General features: G+C 41.8%; 1 protein-coding gene across 12 annotated transcripts in view, besides 1 other annotated feature; it reads left to right on the top strand.

The window, feature by feature from the left end:
- The window catches only part of CEP85L (centrosomal protein 85L), a 249,318-nt gene that overhangs the window by 83,576 nt on the left and 142,818 nt on the right, over positions 1-22,924 (top strand). The window lies entirely within an intron of this gene.
- Positions 14,401-14,601: a silencer, noted in NCBI's record as "peak6062 fragment used in MPRA reporter construct". NCBI's record gives its function as "represses an SCP1 promoter by STARR-seq MPRAs in K562 erythroleukemia cells {active_cell/tissue: K562}" and the evidence as "EXISTENCE:reporter gene assay evidence [ECO:0000049][PMID:32103011]".

The raw sequence follows: 22,924 nt of genomic DNA, 5'->3' as shown, positions 1-22,924 counted from the left end.
GAGAAAATCTGAAATTGCGACTTATGCTTACTCGTTTTGTGGCCTTGGAGCTGTACAGCAAGAAAAAGAGGATCTTATAGAACTTAACGAACTATGTTCATAAGGAATTGGGAGGATAGATAAGGTCCGCTGATCACAGAAAAATGGGCAGTTAATCTTTTCTTTAACTCTGGTTTTGGCAGGGGAGGAGTGGGGCATACAGGAAAACTTACAGCTAAAATTCTCGCTGTTTATAGCTTTCTTGGGAAGAAAACATATAAGCAAATCCTGGTGTTAGGAATATTTTAAGCATATATCCTCAGTATTATTTATCCAGAACTGAAGTAAGTCCTGATGCAGGAAATGAGTGAGTTTTACAGCTTTCCAAGCCCCTACTCAACCCAGGAAGCTCAGCTGGCATCACCTCTCAGTCCCCCCTCTAAACAGGACACCCCAACTGCTGTTGGGAACTGGGCGATGACTGCTCTAGCTACTTCCTGCTGGTTAGGGGCGACGATGGGGCCCTGCTGTTGTATTGTCCTCCAGAGGGGAACTTTCTAGGCCAGTTAAGAGACCAGTGGGCTGATCCTGGGGTCCTCGGTAGAAGCTTGAGTTAAATTCATTTGAGGTTCCATTTGTAAGGCCATTTGTAGCTTGATGGCCTTTATCCTAGAGGAAATAAATTTGACAAGGAGGTTAAAAATACAGGGACCGAAGGCGAGTGATAGCAAGATGGCTGTTACAGGGCCTAGAAAGGGGAGAAGCCAAGGTACTCATTGGTTAAATATACTCCAGGGTCCTGAGAGTTGGAGTTCACTCTTTCTACGTTCTCTTCATTCCCTTAGCTCCTGGACTTTTTCGGCAATAATTCCTGACTGGTTGACAAAGTAGCAACATTCTTCTCCTAAGAAGAGGCAGGTTCTTCTTCTTTTAGCTGTTAGTAAGTCTAGGGCCCTTCGTTTTTGGAGGGCCACCCCAGTCAGAGAATTAAGCTGGCTTTGTAGGGTCATCAGGGAATTGGCAACCCATTCCATATCATCATTTAATTCTTGTGATATTTTATAATAGAATTGGGTGAAGGAGGTTATACCTCCAATTCCTGTCCCAAGCCCACCCAGTATTCTGGCTCCTACCATAAAAGGGAGAATAGGCGCTCGGGCGTGGCGGGACTGGGGTATAAGGAGACTTTCCAACTCTTGTTCGGTATAAATGGACATGGGGGTGCTAGAAATGAGAGAAAGCATAACTCTTTTGGGGTGCCCTTTAGACATCAATAAGCTATGTTAGCACGGATGAAAAAGATGTCTGGAGTTAGACAGGTGAAACCTGAGGTCACTGGTATCCAGGATTGACTTTGGGAGATGTTTCTATTGGGAGTCATGCTAAAATTTATACATGTGAGATTTGAGGCCTGTGTGGCTGGCAGATTGGTGACTGGGGAGCCAATTATCCCGGTGGTGTTTAGGACTGAGGTGGATAGGTTCCAATGTCCTGGGACAGGGACTACTGGGACATGTGGTTGGAAACGCAAGGGAAGACACATCCAGTAGTTAGTTGGATTGTTAGGAGAGGCCTCCTGCATTCCTGTGAATGTGGTGTTAAATAGACTCTAGAGATGGGAATGAGAGTCAAGAGTCTTTTGTAACCCGGAAAGGTCTAGTTTCTTATATGGACTTGGAGTGTTAGATGGTTGGATCAAGTTTTTAATTACTTGTTGGACATGTTGTTTTTGGCTTTATCCTGGACACCTCTCTCATCAGTTATACCCACATGGGTGTAATATGTCCAACATTGGGTAGTCCCTAGGGCATCGGGACAGTTGGACTGGGTCATTTGTCCTTGGTGATATGTATGGCCATTGTGGGAGCAGAGAGAAGCAGCACTATAACATTCCTTTCTCATATAGGTGTGGGTAGTAAACCCTGATTTAGTTTTAAACAATATCCTTTCGAAGTAGACTACATCAGTGTTTCTGGGAAGGGGAGGAGAGTATGCACTAGAGAAGCAAGTGCAGTTGGGGAGGGATGAAGAGGTGGCAGAAAGAATACTTAGGAGAGTTAAAAGAAGCTTAGGAGATCCTTATAAAGGGAGTCATGGTGCTCTGTAGGTGGAGCGGTAGTAGAAAGGAGGAGGGAAGAAGGAGTAAATTGTTAAAAGGAAGGACGATAGAAAAAAGGTTGATGTGGTCAGGATTTTTGTCCTGGCAGGAGCTACAGTATATAATCCTACTGCAAAGGGTATGGTTAGTATACTGTTTAATATGATGAAACAGTATAAGGACTCCATTAAAGAGAGCAAGGAGAGATGTCAAAGATCCATGTAGGCTTTCTGCTTATCCTCTATTAGGTAGAGATGAGTTTTTCTTCTTTAGGATTAACTGCAGGAGTCTTTTTAGCCTGGGATGCTTCCTTCCGAAATAGGAGAAGCAGGGCCTCAAGTGGGTCACAGGTGTATCAAGGCTGGTCTGGCTGATCTTCAGACTCCTGAGCTGATAGTCCTGTAAGTTCCTCAAGGGGTGTCCAAGGTTTAACTCGGGTGTGGTGAATCCAGGATTCCACTCCTGCCACCTTAACCTCAGTGGGGATAGAGAGGATTACTGAGTATGGTCCCTCCCACAAGGGATCCATAGATGGGAAGGTAGAGGGGAGGGACTTGACCACTACTAGATCTTCTGGTTGGAACAGCTCTATCCCTTTTCTCCTGTCATACCCTTTGGGTAAAGTTTTAAGGTTTTGTTGATACTTTGCTAGAGAAGTTATTATATCTTTGACCAAATTGGCCGTTTCCTGATTGAGCAGGAGGTCATTTGTGAGAAAAGGCCATCCATACAGCATTTCATATGGACTGAGCCCCCTTTGATTTTGGATCAAATTTCCAGGGGAATTTCGGATTCTTAACAAGGCCATGGGCAAGAGAGTGGCCATGGGAGATACTTTCTCAAATGCCTCTTTAGTGTTTCATTTGCCTTTTCGACTTTCCCTGAGGATTGTGGTCTCCAGGCACAGTGAAGGTGATATTGTATTCCTAGTGCCTTGGAAATTCCTTGAGTTATTGTAGCTTTAAAAGCTGGACCATTGTTGCTCTGTAAGCTTTGGGGGAAGTCCGAATATAGGAATTATTTCATGAAGTAAGATTTTAACTACTTCTTGGGCCTTCTCTGTTGTGCAGGGGAAGGCTTCCACCCACTTTGTAAAGGTATCAACATAGACCAACAAGTATTGAAATCCTCTTGACTTAGGCATGTGGGTGAAGTTTAACTGCCAGTCCTCTACAGGATAGTGCCCTATTCTTTGTTCCCCCAGAGGGGCCTTATGATGGACCAAGGGATTATTTCTTTGGCACATCTCCCAGGCCTTGACTACCTGCCGCATAGTTTGGAGAAGGTTTGGCCCTGTAAATAGGGATTTGGCCATCTTACGGGTACTTTCAAAACCTGTATGAAAGGTTTGTTGGAGGGTCTTAAGTATTTTCCACTGGCTGGCTTCAGGTATGAGCACCTTTCCCTCTTCTGTCGCTAACCACCCTGAGGGGAGAAAACTATGCCCCCATGAGAGTCCCCATTCTGTTTCGCTTGGGGAATACTGGGGCTTAACCTCCTGGAGGGGGTTGCTCCATACTAAGGGTCCTTCCATGGGCACTTCTAAAGGGAAGTCCTGCTTAGCAGCAGTTTTGGCCTCAGCATCTCCTCGGCAGTTTCCTTCTGCTGCTTCTCCTTCATCTTTTTGATGACCCCGGCAGTGTAAGACTGCCGCCTTCTTGGGTTTCTGCACTGCGTGCAGTAATTTCATGATTTCCTTGTGGTACTTAATGGGTGTCCCCTGAGAGGTTATAAACTCCCTCTCTTTCCATATTGCAGCATGGGCATGTAGAACTAGATAAGCATATCTGCTATCTGTATACACATTTATTCTTTTTCCTTCTCCCAGTTCTAAGGCTCAGGTAAGTGCCACGAGTTCTGCTAACTGGGTGCTGGTCCCTGGGGGAAGAGGCTTACTCTCAAGTACTGTTGCATTGCTAACTATGGCATAGCCTGCCCTTTGTACCTAAATGAACTTCTATCAGTATACAGGTTAAGGTCAGGGTTAGTTAAAGGAACTTCTAAGAGATCCTCCCAGGCGGCATAAGTCTGGGCAATAATTTGGTGGCAGTTATGCTCAATTGGCTCCCCATCCTCTGGGAGAAAAGTGGCAGAGTTGAGGGCTGCACATGTGCATATTTGAAACACTGATCCTTCAAGGATTAGTGCCTGGTATTTGAGTAGGTGGTTATCTGAGAGCCACAAACTTCCTTTAGCATTTAATATGCCACTTACATCATGAGTAGTCCAGACAGTGAGATCCTTTCCTTGTATTATTTTGATAGTCTCTGATACTAAGATGGCCGCTGCTGCAACCACCCATAAACAGTGAGGCCAGCCTTTTGCTACTACATTAGTTTCCTTACTTAGGTATGCCCCTGGTTGTAGGGCTATCCCACGGGTCTGACTTAGAACTCCAAGAGCTATTCCTGGTCTCTCTGTGACATATAAAGATAAATTTTGTCCCGTGGGAAGGCTTAGGGCTGGAGCATGTACTAGGGTCTGTTATAAAGTTTTGAAGGCTGTTTCCGCCTCTGATTCCCATTCTACTAGATGAGTTATTTGCCCTCTGGGTCTCCTTTATCAGAATATAGAGTGGCTTGGCCTTCTCACTGTATCCAGGGATTCACAGTTGGCAAAAGCCGGCGATTCCAAGGAATCCCTGCAACTGTTTCAATGTCTTAGGGCGAGGATAAGCCAGTATAGGCTCAATTTGTTCTTTGCTGAGGGCCCTAGTTCTTTCGGCTAGGTTTAAGCCTAGATATTTAATTTGTTGTTGGCAGAGCTGGGCCTCTGACTTAAATACCTTGTACCCTCGATTAGCTAGAAAATTCAAGAGATCTAGAGTAGTCTGTTGATGTGAGGCTTCCAAACTGGTAGCCCAAAGTAAGTCATCTGCGTATTGGAGGACTAGAGTGCCTGGACTTGAGAATTGGCCTAGGTCTTGGGCCAGTGCCTGACCAAACAGATGAGGGCTATCCCTAAACCCCTGGGGCAGGACCATCCACGAAAGTCGGGATGTGTGGTCTGTAGGATCCTCAAAGGCAAAGAGGAACTGGGAGTCAGTGTGCTGGGGAATGCAGGAGAAGGCATCCTTGAGGTCCAGAACAGTGAACCGTTCTGCTTCCTCTGGTATCTGAGAGAGCGGGGCTTAGGGGTTGGGTACAGCAGCATATAAAGGAATTACTGCCTCATTGATGATTCTGAGGTCTTGCACTGGTCTCCACTGACCATTTGGTTTTTGTACTCGTAGGATTGGGGTGTTGCAGGGACTGTCCCATTTTCTCACTAAGCCTTGAGCTTTTAAATGCCTAATAATATCCTCTGGTCCTTTATGAGCTTCAGGCCATAGGGGATATTGCCTTTGATAAGGAAAAGTGGTGGGGTCTTTTAGCCTAATTTGAACTGGACAGGCATTTTTTGCCCTACCGAATTGTCCTTCCATTGCCCAGACTTCAGGGTCGATTCCCTCCTCAAGTAAGGGACAACAAATGGGTAATTTGTCCCCCGTATTCGTGTAGTTAATAGCTCCAGCTTTGGATAATATGTCCCTCCTTAATAAGGGTGTGGGACTTTCAGGCATGATAAGAAAGACGTGAAAAGAGCAAGGTCTCCCAGTTGCAGCTGAGGAGGTGGGAGAAATACCTGGTTACAGGCTGTCCTAGGATTCCTTGGATGGTAATGGATCTTGAGGATAACTGTCTAGGGCAGGAGATTAACACTGAGAAGACCGTGCTGGTGTCCAGGAGGAAATCGATTTCCTGGTTCTTAATGGTTGAGCTTACCCGGGGCTCTGTGAGGGTGATATGAGCTGGCGCTTGCCCCAGGCACCCTCAGTCCTCTTGCTGAATCATCTGGCTGGGGGCTTCTGGCCCAGAGAGCCTTCATCATCTGGGGCAGCATGCCTTCCAATGGTTTCCTTGGCATATTGGACGTGGGCAAGGGGGCAGTTTGTTTTTTGTTGGACAATCTTTTTTAAAGTGTCTTTGCAAACCACAGTGATCACAAGCCCTACCAGGTGATTGTCCTGCTCCATTTTTTGTCCTTTCTGAACCTCCAATGTTTGCTTGTCTGAGAGCCATGACCAAGGCTGCGGTCTTTCTCTTATCTTGCTTTTCCCTTTTGGCCTGTTCCTCTCGGTCCATTTTATAGAACACCAAGGTCACCAGGTTTAATAATGCCTCCAAATTTTGTTCTGGGCCTAAGGCAGACTTTTGGAGTTTTCTCCTAATATTGGCCGCTGATTGGGTGATAAATTTATCCTTTAGAATAAGTTGGCCTTCCAGGGAATCCGGAGTTAGGGAGGTATACTTTCTTAGAGCCTCCCATACCCTTTCTAGAAAAGCTGAGGGGTTTTCTTCTTTTCCCTGTGTAATTGTGGATAGCATTGAGTAGTTCATAGGCTTCTTCCTACTTCTTCTTAACCCTTCCAAGATACAAGTTAGCAAATGCCTGCGGCTCCAATCTTCATGATCTGAGTCAGTATCCCAATGAGGGTCTACAGCGGTGACCTCCTGTTGCCCTGTGGGGGAATTTTTCCTTCTCCTCTGGGGCCATTTGATCTGTTTACCTGGCTGAGATACCATAAATCCCTAAATTGCTGGGCTGCCGCTAAAGCTCCCTCCTTTTCAGTAGGACTTAAGGTCTGATCAAGGAGCAACATGATGCCCCTCCATGCTAGATCAAAGGACTGTCCTAACCCTTGTAAGACATCTATATAGTTATTGGGATCATCCGAGAATTTCCCTGTATCTGCCTTTATTTGTTTTAAATCTGAGAGTGAGAAAGAGACATGCACATGGGTGGGCCTAAATTCTCCTCCTACTGCTTGTAAGGGACTTAGTTTGGGCGCCTGGTTCGCGGAGTTTACGTTTTCTTTTCGGTGTGCCTCTAACACTTTGGTGGGGCTGGATGGAGGAGAGTCAGTGAGGGAAGAGAGTGGGGCTAAGGAAGGAGGCCCTGAGTATGGAGGCAATTGTGGGTTTTTGTCATTTGGGCAAATCTTGCAGGCTTGGCATAGAGCAGTATTGTCACGAAGGGCAAAGAAAGCCTGTACATAAGGGATTTCACTCCATTTACCTTCCCGTTTACAGAAAAGATCTAGTTGTAGAATGGTGTTATAATTAATACTTCCCTCAGGGGGCCAAGTTTCTCCATTTTGTAAGGAGTACTGTGGCCAGGCATTGGTACAGAAGACAATCAGTCGCTTCTTTTTTAAGGTCTCAGGGTCGAACTTGTCCCAGTTATTCAGGATACATCTCAAGGGAGTGTCCAGTTTTGAAGGCGTGGTGCCCAACTGGAATTTTAAACACAGGTATGCCCGCACCCCTGGTTAGTCTTAGGGACTCATCTTCCCCTTAGGGCATCCCCCAAGGGTCCAGTCCAATTGTGCTCGGAGCGCATGATCGTCCTTGAGCCTTCCATTTACCAGATTTAACCACGCTTACCGGCAGAATGGAAATCATCCTTGCCCTCTGCCGTGCACCCATTGACCACTAGATGGGGCATGAGGACTGTTGGATTTATTGTGGTCCCTTTGCCAACGCGTCCTATCTGTTCTGGGGTGGCAAGGCCTGGGTCGGGGGCACCACTGATGCTTGCATGTCAAGGCCCAATTTACGTGGGCCTGGCCATAAAACTGCCCTTCAAGGAGGAATCTCTGAATTAGTGACAGGAGGCTTAGTAAGCTCAAAGGGGATGGTTGATGTCCTCTAGGCCAGGGCTGAGAGAACAACTGCTGCACTCTAGCCTTTTGTCCCCACTTTCCATCAAAGGAGTAAGCCCCCATCTTAAGGTGGTACCAGTATCCCGTGTCTCAATTGACTATATTTTCTTTCTTCCAATATCCATGATTGAATGGTTGAAAAAGCAATTCAACTGCTCTAAGGGCCGTACCCATACACCACAGATTATACTTGAGAGGCACCAAAAAAAGGAAATTCATCTGGGGAACAATGAAGAAAATGTCCTAGGGCCTCTACCATCCACATGAAAATTACAGATCTGTCTTCAAATTGTCCTGATGTGGGAGACCATACACGATGGTGGGGAACTGGCCTTTCAAAGTGGCCATCAGATGGCAACACCTGCCTAAATTCCAGAGGGCACCATCAACAAGGAACTTCTGAACACCACCTTAAAAACTTAAGTCTCCTAAATAGGGATTCTTGGTCCTGTCTAGTGGGAATAATCTTGCTTACCAGGTGAGGAAAGAAATCTAACCGGCAGTTATTTGAACCCAGGACGCAGGAGTCAGAAGATGTGGCTGTCTCACGCTTAGTAACCCATGCTGTGGGAGCCTCTGGTGGGGCCATGGTCTCAACCTGGATATCTGGGAGACCATGACATTTGCTGAGCACTCCCGGGTGTACTTCGGGACCACTACAGAAAGTGAAAGACTTAAAACTGGTTCCGGGCAAACCAGTGCTCCCAACTCCAAAGGGTCAGGGATTGTCAGAGAGCCCTTTCCCAGGCTGACACTCGTGTTTTTAGTCCAGTGGTCTTGCTAATCGCCTTTAACTGGCTGACAGGTGCCCAGTGTTTAGCCTCCGAATTCTAAGGAAGGATGGGACAGAATAGCAAGCAAAAGAGGTCCGAGGGTACTCACTGCGTGGCAGTTGGGATGCTCTTCCTGGAGTCTCCTGGCTGGCTCACTAAGATGTAACACCCAAGGTTCTTTGCCTAGCCACGCCAAAGAATTGGTGTGGCGGCTGACCATGGCGAGTGACAGATACTTGGACCAAGAGAGAGAATGAGCTGTAGGTTTTATTGAGCAGAGCGAAAGTACAAAGCTTCCACAGCATGGAAGGGGTCCCGAATGGGTTGCCACTGCTAGCTCGGGTGATTGCCTTTTAAACTCTTTAAGGCGGGAGATATGTGAGGCGGGAAGTATGTTCCAGTACAGGAGCGAGAAACAAAGGCAGTAAATTATTTTGTGACATGCTTTAGATTTTGAGAAAAACTGAAATTGCGACTTACGCTTACCTGATTTATGGCCTTGCAGCTGCACAGCAAAAAAGCAGGATCTTATAGAACTTACAAACAGTGTTTACAAGGAATTGGGAGGATAGATAAGGCCCACTGATCACAGAAAAATGGGCAGTTAATCTTTTCTTTAACTCTGGTTTCGGGGGAGGGCACACAGGAAAACTTACACCTAAAATTCTCGCTGTTTATAGCTTTCTTGGGGAAGAAAACATATAAGTAAATCCTGGTGTTAGGAATATTTTAAGCATATATTATACCTCAATATTATTTATCCAGAACCGAAGTAATCCCTGATGCAGGAAATGAGTGAGTTTTACAGCTTTCCAAGCCCCTACTCGACCCAGGAAGCCCAGCTGGCATCACCTCTCACTTTTAATTGTATCTCCTGCAAAGCGCAAGGTTTTACTATTTTTAAAATTTTTTTTATTTTTATTTTTTAGAGACTGGAGCTTGCTACATTGCCCAGGCTGGTCTTGAACTCCTGGGCTCAAGTGATCCCCTCCTACCTCAGCCTTTTTTTTTTTTTGACACAGAGTCTCGCTCTCTTGCCCAGGCTGGAGTGCAGTGGCACTATCATGGTTCACTGCAAGCTCCGCCTCCCGGGTTCAAGTGATTCTCCTGCCTCAGCCTCCTGAGTAGCTGGGATTACAGGTGCACGCCACCACGCCTGGCTAATTTTTGTATTTTTACTAGAGACAGCGTTTCACCATGTTGGCCAGGCTGGTCTCGAACTCCTGACCTTGTGATCCACCTGCCTCAGCCTCCCAAAGTGCTGGGATTACAGGCATGAGCCACTGCACCTGGACTTTTTTTTTTTTTTTTTTAAAGACAGGGTCCTGCAGTGTTGCCCAGGCTGTAGTGTAGTGGTGCATACCGTCATACCTGGCCACAGAGCACAGGTTCCCTCCCATACTCCCTGTTTTTTTTTTTTCATTGTTTTGAAGATAGTCTCACTCTGTCACCCAGGCTGGCGTGCAGTTGTGCTATCATGGCTCACTGTGATCCTTCTATCATGGTCTCAAGTGATCCTTCTGCTTCAGCCTCCCAAGTAGCTTTGGTTACAGGCTTGTACCACCATTCCTGGCTTTTGTTTTTGTTTTTGTTTTTTGTAAGGACAGGGTCCTATTATGTTGTCCAGGTTGGTCTTGAACTCCTGGGCTCAAGTGATCCTCCAGCCTCTGCCTCTCTAAGTGTTGGGATTACAGGCATGACCCACCACATCTGGCCTCATAGAGCACAAGTTTTAAAATTTGAAATTCACTGTACTGGTTTTTTCCCTTTATGGTTTGTGCTTTTTATGTCAAGTTTAAGAACTCTTTGCCTGGTTCTACATCTTGAAGATATTTTCTCATTTTTTTCTTAAATATTTTATTATTATATTTGTGATCCATTTTGAGTTAATTTTTTATATATGTGTGTTTAGGAGTCCCCAAGGCTTCTCCTAGACTCAGTGATTCTCATAAAGAATCACAGAACTTAAAGTTGTTATACTTACGGCTATGGTTTGTTACAGCTAAAGGATACAGATTTAAATCAGTGATGGAAAAAGAAGCAAAGGACAGGGTCCAGGAGACACCAGACCCAAATTTATAGTCGTTCTATCACTGCGAAGTCATGTGCACAGTTTGTTTCTTCTAGCAGTGATGTATGAGAACATGTGGAATATTGAAAACTGGGTAAGCTCAGCTGAGCCCTGGTGTCCAGGGTTTTTTGGTAGGTCGGTATGTAGGTGTGGTTGACTGCCCTCATGGATGACCTCCGTCTGCAGCCCTCAAGCTGATACCATTTGGTCCAAGGCCCCCACCATTAATCACATTATTAGCATAGACTATATGGAGTGGCCTAAAACCCCCAGGTAAAGAAAGACTTTCTTACTAGGCTGGACATTCCAAGGGCTTAGAGGTTACTTCCTAGGAGCTGGGCAAGGGCCAAATCTTTCTCGGAACGTGCACGGTGTGGGAAACCCAGACTTTTGCTGAGTTAATTAATCCTTATTGCACAGTGTGAGACATAGACTGAGGTTTTTTTTTTTCCCATTTACTTTTTGGGTAGAGTTATTATGTGTACTGTTTTGTTTTTCAAATTGTTTTAGCTCTTCTAGTTTCTTTTCCTTTCTGTATAAGCTTAGAATATTGAAGTCTGGGTATTTGGTTAAAAAAAGGAAGAAAGAGAAAAATAAGCTTAGAATAATCAAGCTACTGTAAGTAAAACTCTTAAAAATTGTGTTTGCACAAAAAAGAATACAAAAAAAGTCTTCCTAGGAATTTGATAGGAATTTTGTTGTTTAGCTATCAGATTGGGGAGAAATAACATCTTTTCTTGGTGAGTTTTCCAGTCTATGAACATGGTATGTTCTTCATTTATTTAGATTTTTTATTTTGCTCATCAGCGTTGTATAGTTTTTAATATTTTCTATGCATATGTTGTTAGATTTACACTTAATATTTTATGTTTTTGGAGTGATTGTAAATTATATTGTATTTTCAAGTTTTAAGACATAGAACACAGAAATAAGTTTAGAAATACATTTATAATATAGAAATACATTTGCTTTTAAAAAAATCTATCTATCTATCTATCTATCTATCTATCTATCTATCTATCTGTCTGTCTGTCTGTCTATGAATGAATGATGGAGTTTTGTTCTTGTTGCCCAGGCTGGAGTGCAATGGCACGATCTTGGCTCACTGCAACCTCCACCTCCGGGGTCCAAGCAATTCTCCTGCCTCAGCCTCCCGAGTAGCTGGGATTACAGGCATGTGCCACCACCAGCTAATTTTTTTATTTTCAATAGAGACGGGGTTTCTCCATGTTGGTCAGGCTGTCCTTGAACTCCTGACCTCAGGTGATCCACCTGCCTCAGCCTCCCAAAGTGCTGGGATTACAGGTGTGAGCCACTGCGCCCGGCCACATTTGCTTTTTGTATATTTATCTTGTATTTGTTACCTTGCTGAACTCACGCATTAGTTCTAAGAGTTTGTTTTGGTAGATACCTTGGAATTTTGAATGTAGACAATCACATTGTCTATAAATAAGGAGTTTTTTCTTTCTGATTTGTGTGCCTTTTGTTTTCTTCTCTTGACTTACTGCAGTGACTAGAAGAATCTAGCACAATGTTTATGAGTAGTAGAAGTGGATATCCTTGCCTTGTTTCTGATTACACAGATATAGCATTCAGTCTTTTCACTATTAAGTAGCAGTAGTATAGCTGTTAGCTGTAGGTTTTTGTAGATACCATTTATCAATTTGAGGGCACTTCTTATTCCTAGTTTGCAGAGGGTTTTTATCATGAATAGGTATTAGATGTTGTCAATTTTTTTTCCTCAATGAATTGATTTATGATTTTCTTCTTTAGTTTGTTGATATGGTGGTGCATTTTATTACTTGATTTAAAAAATGTTTAACGAACTTTTTATCCCTGGAATAAGCGCCACTTGGTCATGGTATATAATTCTTTTTATATATTGCTGAATTTTGTTTATAGTTTGTTAAGGATTGTTTTCGTGTATCGATAAGGAATATTGTCCTGTAGTTTTTTTCTCAGGTACTCTCTGGATATCAGGGTTAATACTATAATACCTTTATAAATGAATGGGGAAATGTTCTCTCTTATTTTTTGGAAGAGATTGTATAGAATGGTGCTGATTCTTTTTTATACATTTGGTAGAATTTTCAGTGAAACACTCTGGGCCCAGAATTTTTTTTTTTTTTTTGAGACACAGATTTGCTCTTGTTGCCCAGGCTGGAGTGCAGTGGTGCGATCTCGGGTCACCACAACCTCCAACTCCTGGGTTCAAGCGATTCTCCTTCCTCAGCCTCCCGAGTAGCTGGGATTATAGGTGTGTGCCACCACGCCGGGCTAATCTTTGTAGTTTTAGTAGAGAGAGGATTTTGCCATGTTGACCAGGCTGGTCTTGAACTCCTGACCTCAGGTGATCCACCCGCCTTGGCCCCACAAAGTACTAGGATTACAGGCGTGAGCCACTGCACCTGGCCAGTGGGCCCAGAGATTTTTAATTTTTGAAATTTTAAAATTATGAATTCGATTTCCTTAATAGTTATAAAGTAATTCAAATTATCTGTTTCAAATTGGATGCGTTGCATTTGTTTTTTAGAGGAAGTGGTTGATTTCACCTAAATTATCAAGTTTATGTGTGTAGAATTGTTTATAACATTCTCTTATTATTTGTTAGATGTCTGCAGGCTATGTGGTGATGTCTCCTGTTTCATTTCAGTTATTGTTTTTCTTTCTTTTTTTCGAGACGGAGTTTTGCTCTTGTTGCCCAGGCTGGAGTACAGTGGCGCGATCTCGGCTCACTGCAACCTCTGCCCGCCGGGTTAAGCGATTCTCTTGCCTCAGCCTCCTGAGTAGCTGGGATTACAGGCCCACCACTCCTGGCTAATTTTTGTATTTTTAGTAGAGGGGATTTCTCCATGTTGGTCAGGCTGGTCTCAAACTCCTGACTTCAGGCGATCCGCCCGCCTCGACCTCCCAAAGTGCTGGGATTACAGGTGTGAGCCACCACACCTGGCCTCATTTCAGTTATTGTTAATTTGTGTCTTCCTGCCTTGTTTTTCAGTTTTGGTAGCAGTTTGTTGATTTTACTGATCTCTACAAAGAACCATCTCCTGATCACATTAATTTTCTCATTTGTTTTCTGTTTTCAATTTCAGCAATTTCTGCTCTTTGTTGCTTCCTTTTTTTCTGCTTTGGGTCTGTTGAACTCTTCTTTTTTTCTAGGTTCTTGTTAGCAGATTAGATTACTGATTTGAGAGTCCCCCCCCCCCCCCCCCGCTTTTTTTTTTTTTTGAGACAGAGTCTCACTCTGTCGCCCAGGCTAGAGTGCAGTGGTGCAGTCTCGGCTCACTGCCAGCTCCGCCTCCTGGTTCACACCATTCTCCTGCCTCAGCCTCCCCAGTAGCTGGGACTACAGGCACCCGTCACCATGCCTGGCTAATTTTTTTTTTTTTTGTATTTTTAGTAGAGACAGGGTTTCACTATGTTAGCCAGGATCTGGATCTCCTGACCTCATGATCCACCCGCCTCGGCCTCACAAAGTGCCGGGATTATAGGTGTGAGCCACCGCACCTGGCCGTTTGCCACTTTTAAAATATGCTATTATAAATTTTCCTCTCAGAACTGCTTTAGCTGTGTCCCACAAATTTTGATATTTTATATTTTCATTTTAGTTCAGTGTGGTTTTTTTTTTTATTTGCCTTATGACTTCCTCTTTGCTTCTCAGGACTGTAAGTGTGTTGTTTAGTTTCAAAGTGTTTGGAGATTTTCCTGCTGTCTTTCTGTTATTAATTTCTAGTTTTTTCCATTGTAGCCAGAAACTCTTCATGTGATTTCAGTCCTTTAAATTTGTTGACATTTGTTTTAGGGCCCACCGTATGGTATATTTGATGTATGTTCTGTGGGTACTTGGAAAGAATGTGTATTCTGCTGTTGTAGTGGGGGAGTGTCCTATAAATGTTGATTAGATCTTGTTTATGTTGAGTTCTGTATACTTGATGATTTTCTGTCTAGTTTTTCTATCAGTTGTTGAAAGAGGAGTGTTTGAAAGTCTACAAATATAATTATAGATTTGTGTATTTTTTTATTTCTGTGTTTTTGCTTTATATATTGCAGCCACATTGTTTGGTGTGTAGACATTTAGAATTGCTATTACTTCTTGGTCTGTCGGCCCTTTTATCATTATATAATGTCCCTCTCTGTCTTTGGTAATTTTATTTTCTCCAAAGCTTACTTTATCTGATGTTAATATAGCTAACACGCTTTTTTCATTAATGTTCACATGGCATATGTTTTATATCCTTTTACATACAACCTATCTATGTTATTATTTGAGGTAAATGACTTGTAACGGCATAGTTGGGACGTGGTTTCTCATCAATCTGCTGTGCCAATTTCTATCTTTTAATTGGTATATTTAGACCATTTACATTTAATGTAATTATTTATATGTTAATACTTAAGTCTTTGTATTTGTTCTCCATTTCTGTTTTCATTATCTGCCTTCCTATGGGTTACTTGAACATTTTTAGAATTCCATTTGGATTCATCTGTGTTTTTCAGTGTCTCTCTTTGTATAGTTCTTCTAGTAGTTGCTTTAGGTATTTTTATATACATTGCTCTTGGTATATTATATATACATATGTATCACAGTTTACTGATTTTTTTTACCACTTTGAGTGGAGTAGAGAAATCTTACCTGTTTTTATATTCCTTTACCGTCCCTCATTTATGATAAAAGAGTTTCACATATTTCCTCTACATACATTTAAAACCACTTCCAACAACTGTCAAACATAATTTAAGAAACTCAGGAGAAGAAGGAAAGCCTATTTTATTTATTCATAATTTTGTTTCTTGTGTTTTTTCTTCCTTTGTATGTTCCAAGGTTTCTTTTTTTATTGCTTCCTTTCTGTTTAGAGAACCTCCAATAGTCATTCTTCATTCTTTTAGATCTCCAATGACAAATTATCTTAGTTTTCTTTTATCTGAGAATGTCTTGACTTCCCCTTGATTCTTTGAGGGCAATTTTACTGGATACACATTTCTAGTCTGATGCTTCTTTTCTTTTATCACGTGAAAATATTTTTCTTCTTCTTTCTGGCTGCCATGATTTCTGATGACAAATCTGCTGTCATTTGAATTGTTTTGTGCCCTCCCTCCCCCATTGATAAGTTGTCATTTTTTTTTCTGGCTGATTTCAATATTTTTTTTCTTCAGTTTTCAGAAATTCAATTATCATGTGCCTTTCGGTGGATTTCTTTGGGTCTTGTAGTTGAAAGTTATGGGGCACTGTCTCCTTATTGCCAGGTGGTGATAGAAGTCCCAATTTCCTGTGAGGCCTTTGCTGATACCTGAGGGATAAGGAAGAGCACCTTGTTACTGCTGGGTAGGGATGGAAGTCCAGGATTCCCAGGTTATCACCATTGACACCACAGTGTGGGTTGCCTTGTTACTACTCAGTGATGGTGAAAGTCCTCAGTCTCTACCAGGCCTCCTCTGATACCACCTAAGGGGAAGAGGGGAAGAGGTGTCACCATATTGCTGGACAGGAGTAAAGGCCCTATCTCCCTACTTGGGCTTCTTGGATACTACTATGGTGGCAGTTTTAGGGTGCTTTATTACAGCCTGGCAAGTTTAGAAGTCTAGGTACCCCACTTGGCTTTTGTTAGCATGGGTGTAGGTTCCCAGAAGATAAAATTAGTATTATTAATTTGGTGAAGAGCTTGAGCTGCATTTAAAACCTGGTATTACTTATTATAGTTATCTGTACAACCTTGAATAATTTCTGACTTCTTTGAGCCTCATTTTTTAAAAAAATCTCTAAATTGGAGGTAACTCTATGTGTGGTGATGATTTAATACGATGATTTTTAAATATCTTAGCACAGTTTACATCATTATCATTGCTTAAGAAATGATTCTTGTTCTCCTTCCTTGCTCCCTTATTTTTTTTTGCGTCTCTCTTCTCAATTTTTTTCCCTAGAAATGTTTCCTGACTTATCTGAAGTGATATTTCTACTGCCACCCTCACAATTTTGTGCCCCCTGCTTTATTTTGGGTTTGCCTATTGTTTGTATCATAGGACAGGAACTGGTATGTCCTGGGTGTTCAATTTTGTTGAATGAAACAATGGATATGTAGACTGTCAGTTAAGGTTTCTGTTTCCACCTACGTTTTTTTTTCAATCCTGGTTTTGTACCTGGTATTTCTGAGGTTGTAGTGTACATTCTACTTCAATATTTAACGCCCTTTGTTTTCTATTGTCAGGAATTTTGTTCTGATCTCTTTTGCTTGATGGTCCCATATTGTTCATTGGTGTGGTTTCCATGCTTTACTTTTTGTCATTTCACTGGGTCTTGAAAGGGAGGGAATATATGTCTGTATACTCAGGCAGTGATCTTGAACCAGAAGTCCTGTTGTCATATAGGTGTAAGTGAAAAAGAAAATGAAGAGAAAAAGAACTTAAAAAGAGATTGTCAAACTTGTCCTTAATGTCAACTACTATTATGTATTTCTTCTTATTTTTTCTGATTTATAAAGGTAATAAATACACATTTACAAGAGCATAAAGATGAATATTGTTTTAAAAGCAAATTCATATTTCAGATATTATTCATGGATTTGAAAAATTTGACTCCACATACAATTATTTTGAAAAATTATATGGAGCAAAAAAAGAAGTCTCCCTTTATTTCGTTTCCTTCTTTAATTCTTGCTTTTCAAGAGGTCCCCAGTGTTATTAATGTGTTCTATGTTCTTCCAGACCTTTTGCTGTTCATTTAGTCACATACACACAGGCTTTTAAATAAACTGATCATCCCATACATGTTTTATGATTTGCTTTCTTTTCCTAAAAACATCTATATATTGGATTTCTTTAAAAAATAATTTTTATTTTGAAATGATTCACATAGTCTAATTCACACCACCTGAAGCTCCTAGAATTAGTTTATTCTCCAAGGAGATTTAGCCATTAAGATAAGCCTAGGATTAGGTTTGATCTCCATGGGCATTTAAGAGTAAAGAAGGCTTCTATGGGGGCCTTTTTTCTGTGTTGGAAAGAACACACATAATTAATAAAATCCCTGCCAATTTATGGTATATGAGCCAAACAAATCAGAGAATAAAACAAAAACCTAGAATTTCTGTTCCACTATTTGGCAAAAATACCCCCATATACATACATACATGTTTATATGTATAACACATTTCTGTAGCAAGCATATTAACTTAAGTACTTTTTTAAAACACATGCGTATATGGAAATTTAATACATGATATAAAGACAGCATTTTAAAGCAGCAGGGAAGTATTAGGCCTGAAAAATGTGGTAGTAGATCCCTACCTCAGATTTGAGATGGAATAAAGAGCTTTTGATTTCTTTTAAAAATCATAAAAATCTAGGAGATAAGAGATTAATTTTATATTCTTAGGTCAGAAATGTTCTTTTTTTTTTTTGAGATGGAATCTTGCTCTGTCGCCCAGGCTGGAGTGCAGTGGTGCGATCTCCGCTCACTGCAACCTCTGCCTCCCGGGTTCATGCCATTCTCCTGCCTCAGCCTCCCGAGTAGCTGGGACTTCAGGCGTACGCCACCACGCCTGGCTAATTTTTTGTATTTTTAGTAGAGATGGGGTTTCACCGTGTTAGCCAGGATGGTCTCGATCTCCTGACCTCGTGATCCGCCTGCCTCGGCCTCCTAAAGTGCTGGGATCACAGGTGTGAGCCACCGTGCCCAGCAGAAATGTTCTTAAGTCACAAAACATTTAATAAAAATTTAAAGAAATTGAACATTGACAAAAGATGCAAAATAAAAAAGACACATACTGGAAGCAAATATTTGTAATATAATTGACCAGGAAATAGTATCTCTAGTGCCTAAAGAGCTCCTGTAGGCTGTGGAGCAGCCATCCTTTTATTCCTTTACTTTCTTAATAAACTTGCTTTCATTTTGCACTGTGGACTCGCCCTGACTTCTTTCTTGCACGAGATACAGGAACCCTCTCTTGGGGTCTGGATCAGGACCTCGTTCCTGTAACATATTTCTGGCGACCATAGAAGGGACTATACTGCAGAAACCCCTGACCCAAAGGCTAACTTTGGGTAAGTGGTGGGGTCTAGTAACATCTTTCTCATGAACCACAAAAGGGACAATATTGAGACCCCCGACCCAAAGGAAATAGATGCAGCACTGATTGGACAACTTTGGGTAAGTAGTGGGGTACCTGGGTAAAGGATGGGATTGGGTTAGAGGCCCAACTTAGGGGAGTTAGAGTCTCTCCTAAGACACAGTGGGTTGGAGCCCCTCTTAATAAAAGGCAAGGATGCTTGACTGACCTTGGGTTAGAGGCCCAACTTAGGAGGATTAGAGTCCCCTCTCGTCACTATTGGATGTTAACTGCTATTCTCTTTGGATTAATCTGCCTTGCACTCTTTGCTATGGCTGTGGGTGGCAGGATTAGGCATGTACAGGATCGTAGGACATGGGGAGGTTTTTCTTCCCTAAAAGGGGAAATGAGAGCTGATGAGACTGGCTGGAAAAGATCTCTTTGGTACTGAGAAACAGCCGCCTGAACTTTTCAGTGTTGCTGCAATGGGTGGGTCTTTCTCTGGCCTCCCTAAGCTGTTCACCTTCCCCACCCTGCCACAGGCAATACTTTCCTTCTCTACTTTTCCTTTCCTATCTTTTCTATTACTCAGGGTGACCATCTTGCCCAGAGACCACGTGTTGAAACTCTTAAGTCGGAGTTTGGATTAAAGATGATGGGGCCCATCTGGGGACAAATTTAAGCCTTGCCAGTTTGATATTGGGTGCTAAGCAGAGTGGCTAATGTCTCTGTTTTTATCACATGGACTTTGCTCTGGCCAGAACGAAAAAAAAAATTTTCCTTTATGATGCAGCTTGGCCCCCATGGCTATGGTGCCACAAGCTGGATCACTAGGGCTGCTCAGGGAAAGGGAACCCAGAAGCCTGGCATGCCGGCAAAAGAGTAAGAATTTCTTACCAGTCAGATTTCAGGCTTCTCTCTCTCTCTGTGCAAACGGTTGACTGAATGGTTAAAAAAAAAAATCAGTGTTTATCTCCTCTGTAAAGTTTTGATTAATGCAAAAAAGAATTCTAAGGCTAGTCTTAAGCTGGTGTATTTTGTGCTATGAATTTGTTTTTCTGTGTTGAGGGGTACTTCAGGATAAAACACGGGCTTAGAACACCTGTAAGCCCGCTTTTCAAGAATAACCAGCAAGCTGGTCAGTAACAAATTTGGCTGCAGGTCTCTGAAACAAACACAAATACTGGATGAAGTCTCCACCTTGTTTTACGTCCTTGGGAGCTTGACCTTGTAACCACGTGGCAGTACTTTTGGTCTCCCCTTTCCAGGGAACAGGAATTTTAGGGTTCATGTCATAGTTAGCTCTAAAAATCATATTAAATAGTTAAAAGCCTCTGCAAGCTCAAAATTAACTACTGTAGACTTGTTCTGGGAAAGGAAATGGGGACTACCCCTTACTGTATGTAGCTCAGTAGCTGACATTTTGCACTTTCACACTGGCAGTCCTGGTTCAGTTCTCCACTAGGAAGTAAGTCATTTCTGTGGTTTAATATCTGTGTGATCTTGTCTATTCTCTTCTCCTCCGTGGACTGTCTTAAATTTTCCTTTCTCTCAGCACCTTTGATAAAGTTCAGAAGCTAGAAATATTGGTCATTTGGGAAGGCTAAAGTCAGGTAATAAGAGATCTGAAAGGATTTGTTTTTTTAAAGAGCACTATGGTTAAAAGTCAGCTTACGTAAAAATGGATAGACAAGCTATAGATATATTTAACAGGCCTTTATTTTTTTCTCTTCTTGGAACTTGTTTTTATGGAAAAAGGTTTTTTCTTTTCAGTCGACTAAATTATTTTTCTCCATTTGTTTTTTGGCTTTCCACTTTTTTTTTTTTTTTTTTGAGACAGAGTCTTGCTCTGTTGCCCAGGCTGGAGTGCAGTGGCGCGATCTTGGCTCACCGCAACCTCTGCCTCCCGGGTTCAAGCGATTCTCCTGCCTCAGCCTCCCAAGTAGCTGGGACTACAGGTGTGTGCCACCATGCCCGGCTAATTTTTTTTGTATTTTTGGTAGAGACGGGATTTCACTGTGTTAGCCAGGATGGCCTCGATCTCCTGACCTCGTGATCTGCCCGCCTCGGCCTCTCAAAGTGCTGGGATTACAGGCCCGAGCCATGGTGCCCAGCTGTCTTTCCACTCTTAATGCACACATGAGAGGCCCTAAGATAACTTCTGGTAGCCTAAGACCCCTTGGGAAAAACAGAGGAAGTGCCACAGACCCTGTTTAGGGAAAAAACCCTCTTTTCCTCATGAAACCCCAGGAATTAAAAGCACATGGATCCCTCTCAAAATCAAAGGCTGTGTTCTGTTTTGCATTGTGTTATCTGACAGTTTTGAGTTTTGGGGGTATCAGAAATTACTTTGCATTATGAGAGAGCTTTGGTGTGTAATAACTAGGTAGGAAATATACTTTAAGGGATGGCTAATAGTAGTTAGGGAGGGGCACTTGACTCTTTGCACACTTGGATCGGAGAAGTATGCTCTTGGCCACCTGGAAGATAAGGAAACATCCCCACCCCCCACTGGGAGATGAGACTTCCATGAAGGATGGGCTGATGACGAAATGGGCTGATTGGCTTTGGGTTGCCTTGCAGTGAAATGCAGAGTAGAAGCACTGTACTGTCTTCTGTAGTATTTCCCTCCTTTTGGGGATCCAGGAACCAGCATAAAATGGCACCCTTAATTTTGGGGATCTGTCTTTGCCTTCAGCTGCTTATTTGGCCCCAGAAACGCATGCTTTCCTGGCGCTTTTCCTCCAAGGGCTCCACCCTGAAGCCAGTAATCCACTTAAGAAACTGGCAATGAAAAATCTTACACGTGCGGAATCTTCTATGTATTAATATGTGTTGTATGTTTATGTATAAAAGAGCTCTAATTGATTGGCTTAGAAAAATAAGCACTTAATATTTTTTCAGAAAAATGGAAACTTTAATGCCTTTTTGTTCACGTGACTTTAGTAATCTTTTGGAAATAAAGACAGTTTTAAAAATTATAGGTAAAATAAAATGTCTTGAAAATGTAGACATTTGGTCTAAATTAAGGTCAGATATTAGATTTGCTAAATGCTTTAAGGTCAAACTGGTTGACTTTGGAAACTGTTCAATTTGCCTACCGTAAAGCCATTAGATTCTAGATAAGGCCTGGGGACATGTGGAGTTAGCCATGCCCCCTAGCTATGCTGGAGAGTCAGTTCTTATCTGCAGTTCTGCCTGGTGTGTCCTAGTAACACAATTAAAATTGCTTACTAACCAGGGTTTTCACCAAACGTAAAAGTTAACATCGTAACATGTAATTGAGACTATTGAAGAAACAGTTCTATATGCAAGGTGTGTAAGGAAAATAAAATGTACTTTTGGTAAAAGATTATAAGAAGGCACGGGAATGTGGATTTTTTTGCCTAAAGAGTTAAATAATTATTTTAAGTTAGAATAAAGCTAAAAGTTTGAACAGTTGTGGATGGTGTGAAAAAAATTGAGAGAGATTCTGTGTGTGAACATATTGACTAAAGTTAAAGGGGTGTTACTCAGTTTTTCCGTAAATTAAACATTGGAATAAAAGCACAACAGGTTTTTCTTAGAGCACTAATCTGCTCTTTCACAAAAAAATGTAAAGGGTTATAAGAATCTTACCTTATGGTCAAACCGATTAAGATTGGATAGACATATTTGTAAAATTTTATTAAGAATTGGGTTTAACATTAATAGAACATTAATATAAAGGTGAAATTTGGCTTATTTGGTGTAAAAGTCATACAGGAAGCATTATCAAATGTAAAATGGTGTTTTGTTTGCATTGTACTATATTTGCATAAATGTGTTATTGGAATATGTTCCAAAGTTATGGGAAACTCCTATAATTCTAATACGACTTAATGTATGTTATTTATAATTGTTATGTAAAATTCTGTGTACCACAAAATCAACCAAATTTCCTTATCTACTGTGGCTTTAATAGGGGCTGGCCTAAAACTTTTTACTATCCACAGACAATTGTTGTCTTGTTTTAGTCCTCTTTAGAAGGCGATTTATAATCAACTATAGAACTCTAGCAGGTATTCTTAAGTGCAAGTTTTCTGATAGCTTTGGAGATTATGACATCAGAATAAAGGAAAAAACTTTCAGAACTCTCAGAGCTAAAATGTTCATAACTATCCAACAGAAGATAACGACATGGACTAAACTGAAGAAGCCTAGTCTTTTTAACTTTGCTTAAAATGTTGCTGATCCTTTGTTTTTCAGAGTCAAGAAAACTTCTTTTGAGCTTTTTAC

This window comes from Homo sapiens, chromosome 6 (assembly GCF_000001405.40).
Source record: "Homo sapiens chromosome 6, GRCh38.p14 Primary Assembly".
NCBI classification, from domain to species: Eukaryota; Metazoa; Chordata; class Mammalia; order Primates; family Hominidae; genus Homo; species Homo sapiens.
The sequence above is the reverse complement of the archived record's forward strand: the minus strand, read 5'-3'. Positions and strand labels throughout refer to the sequence as shown.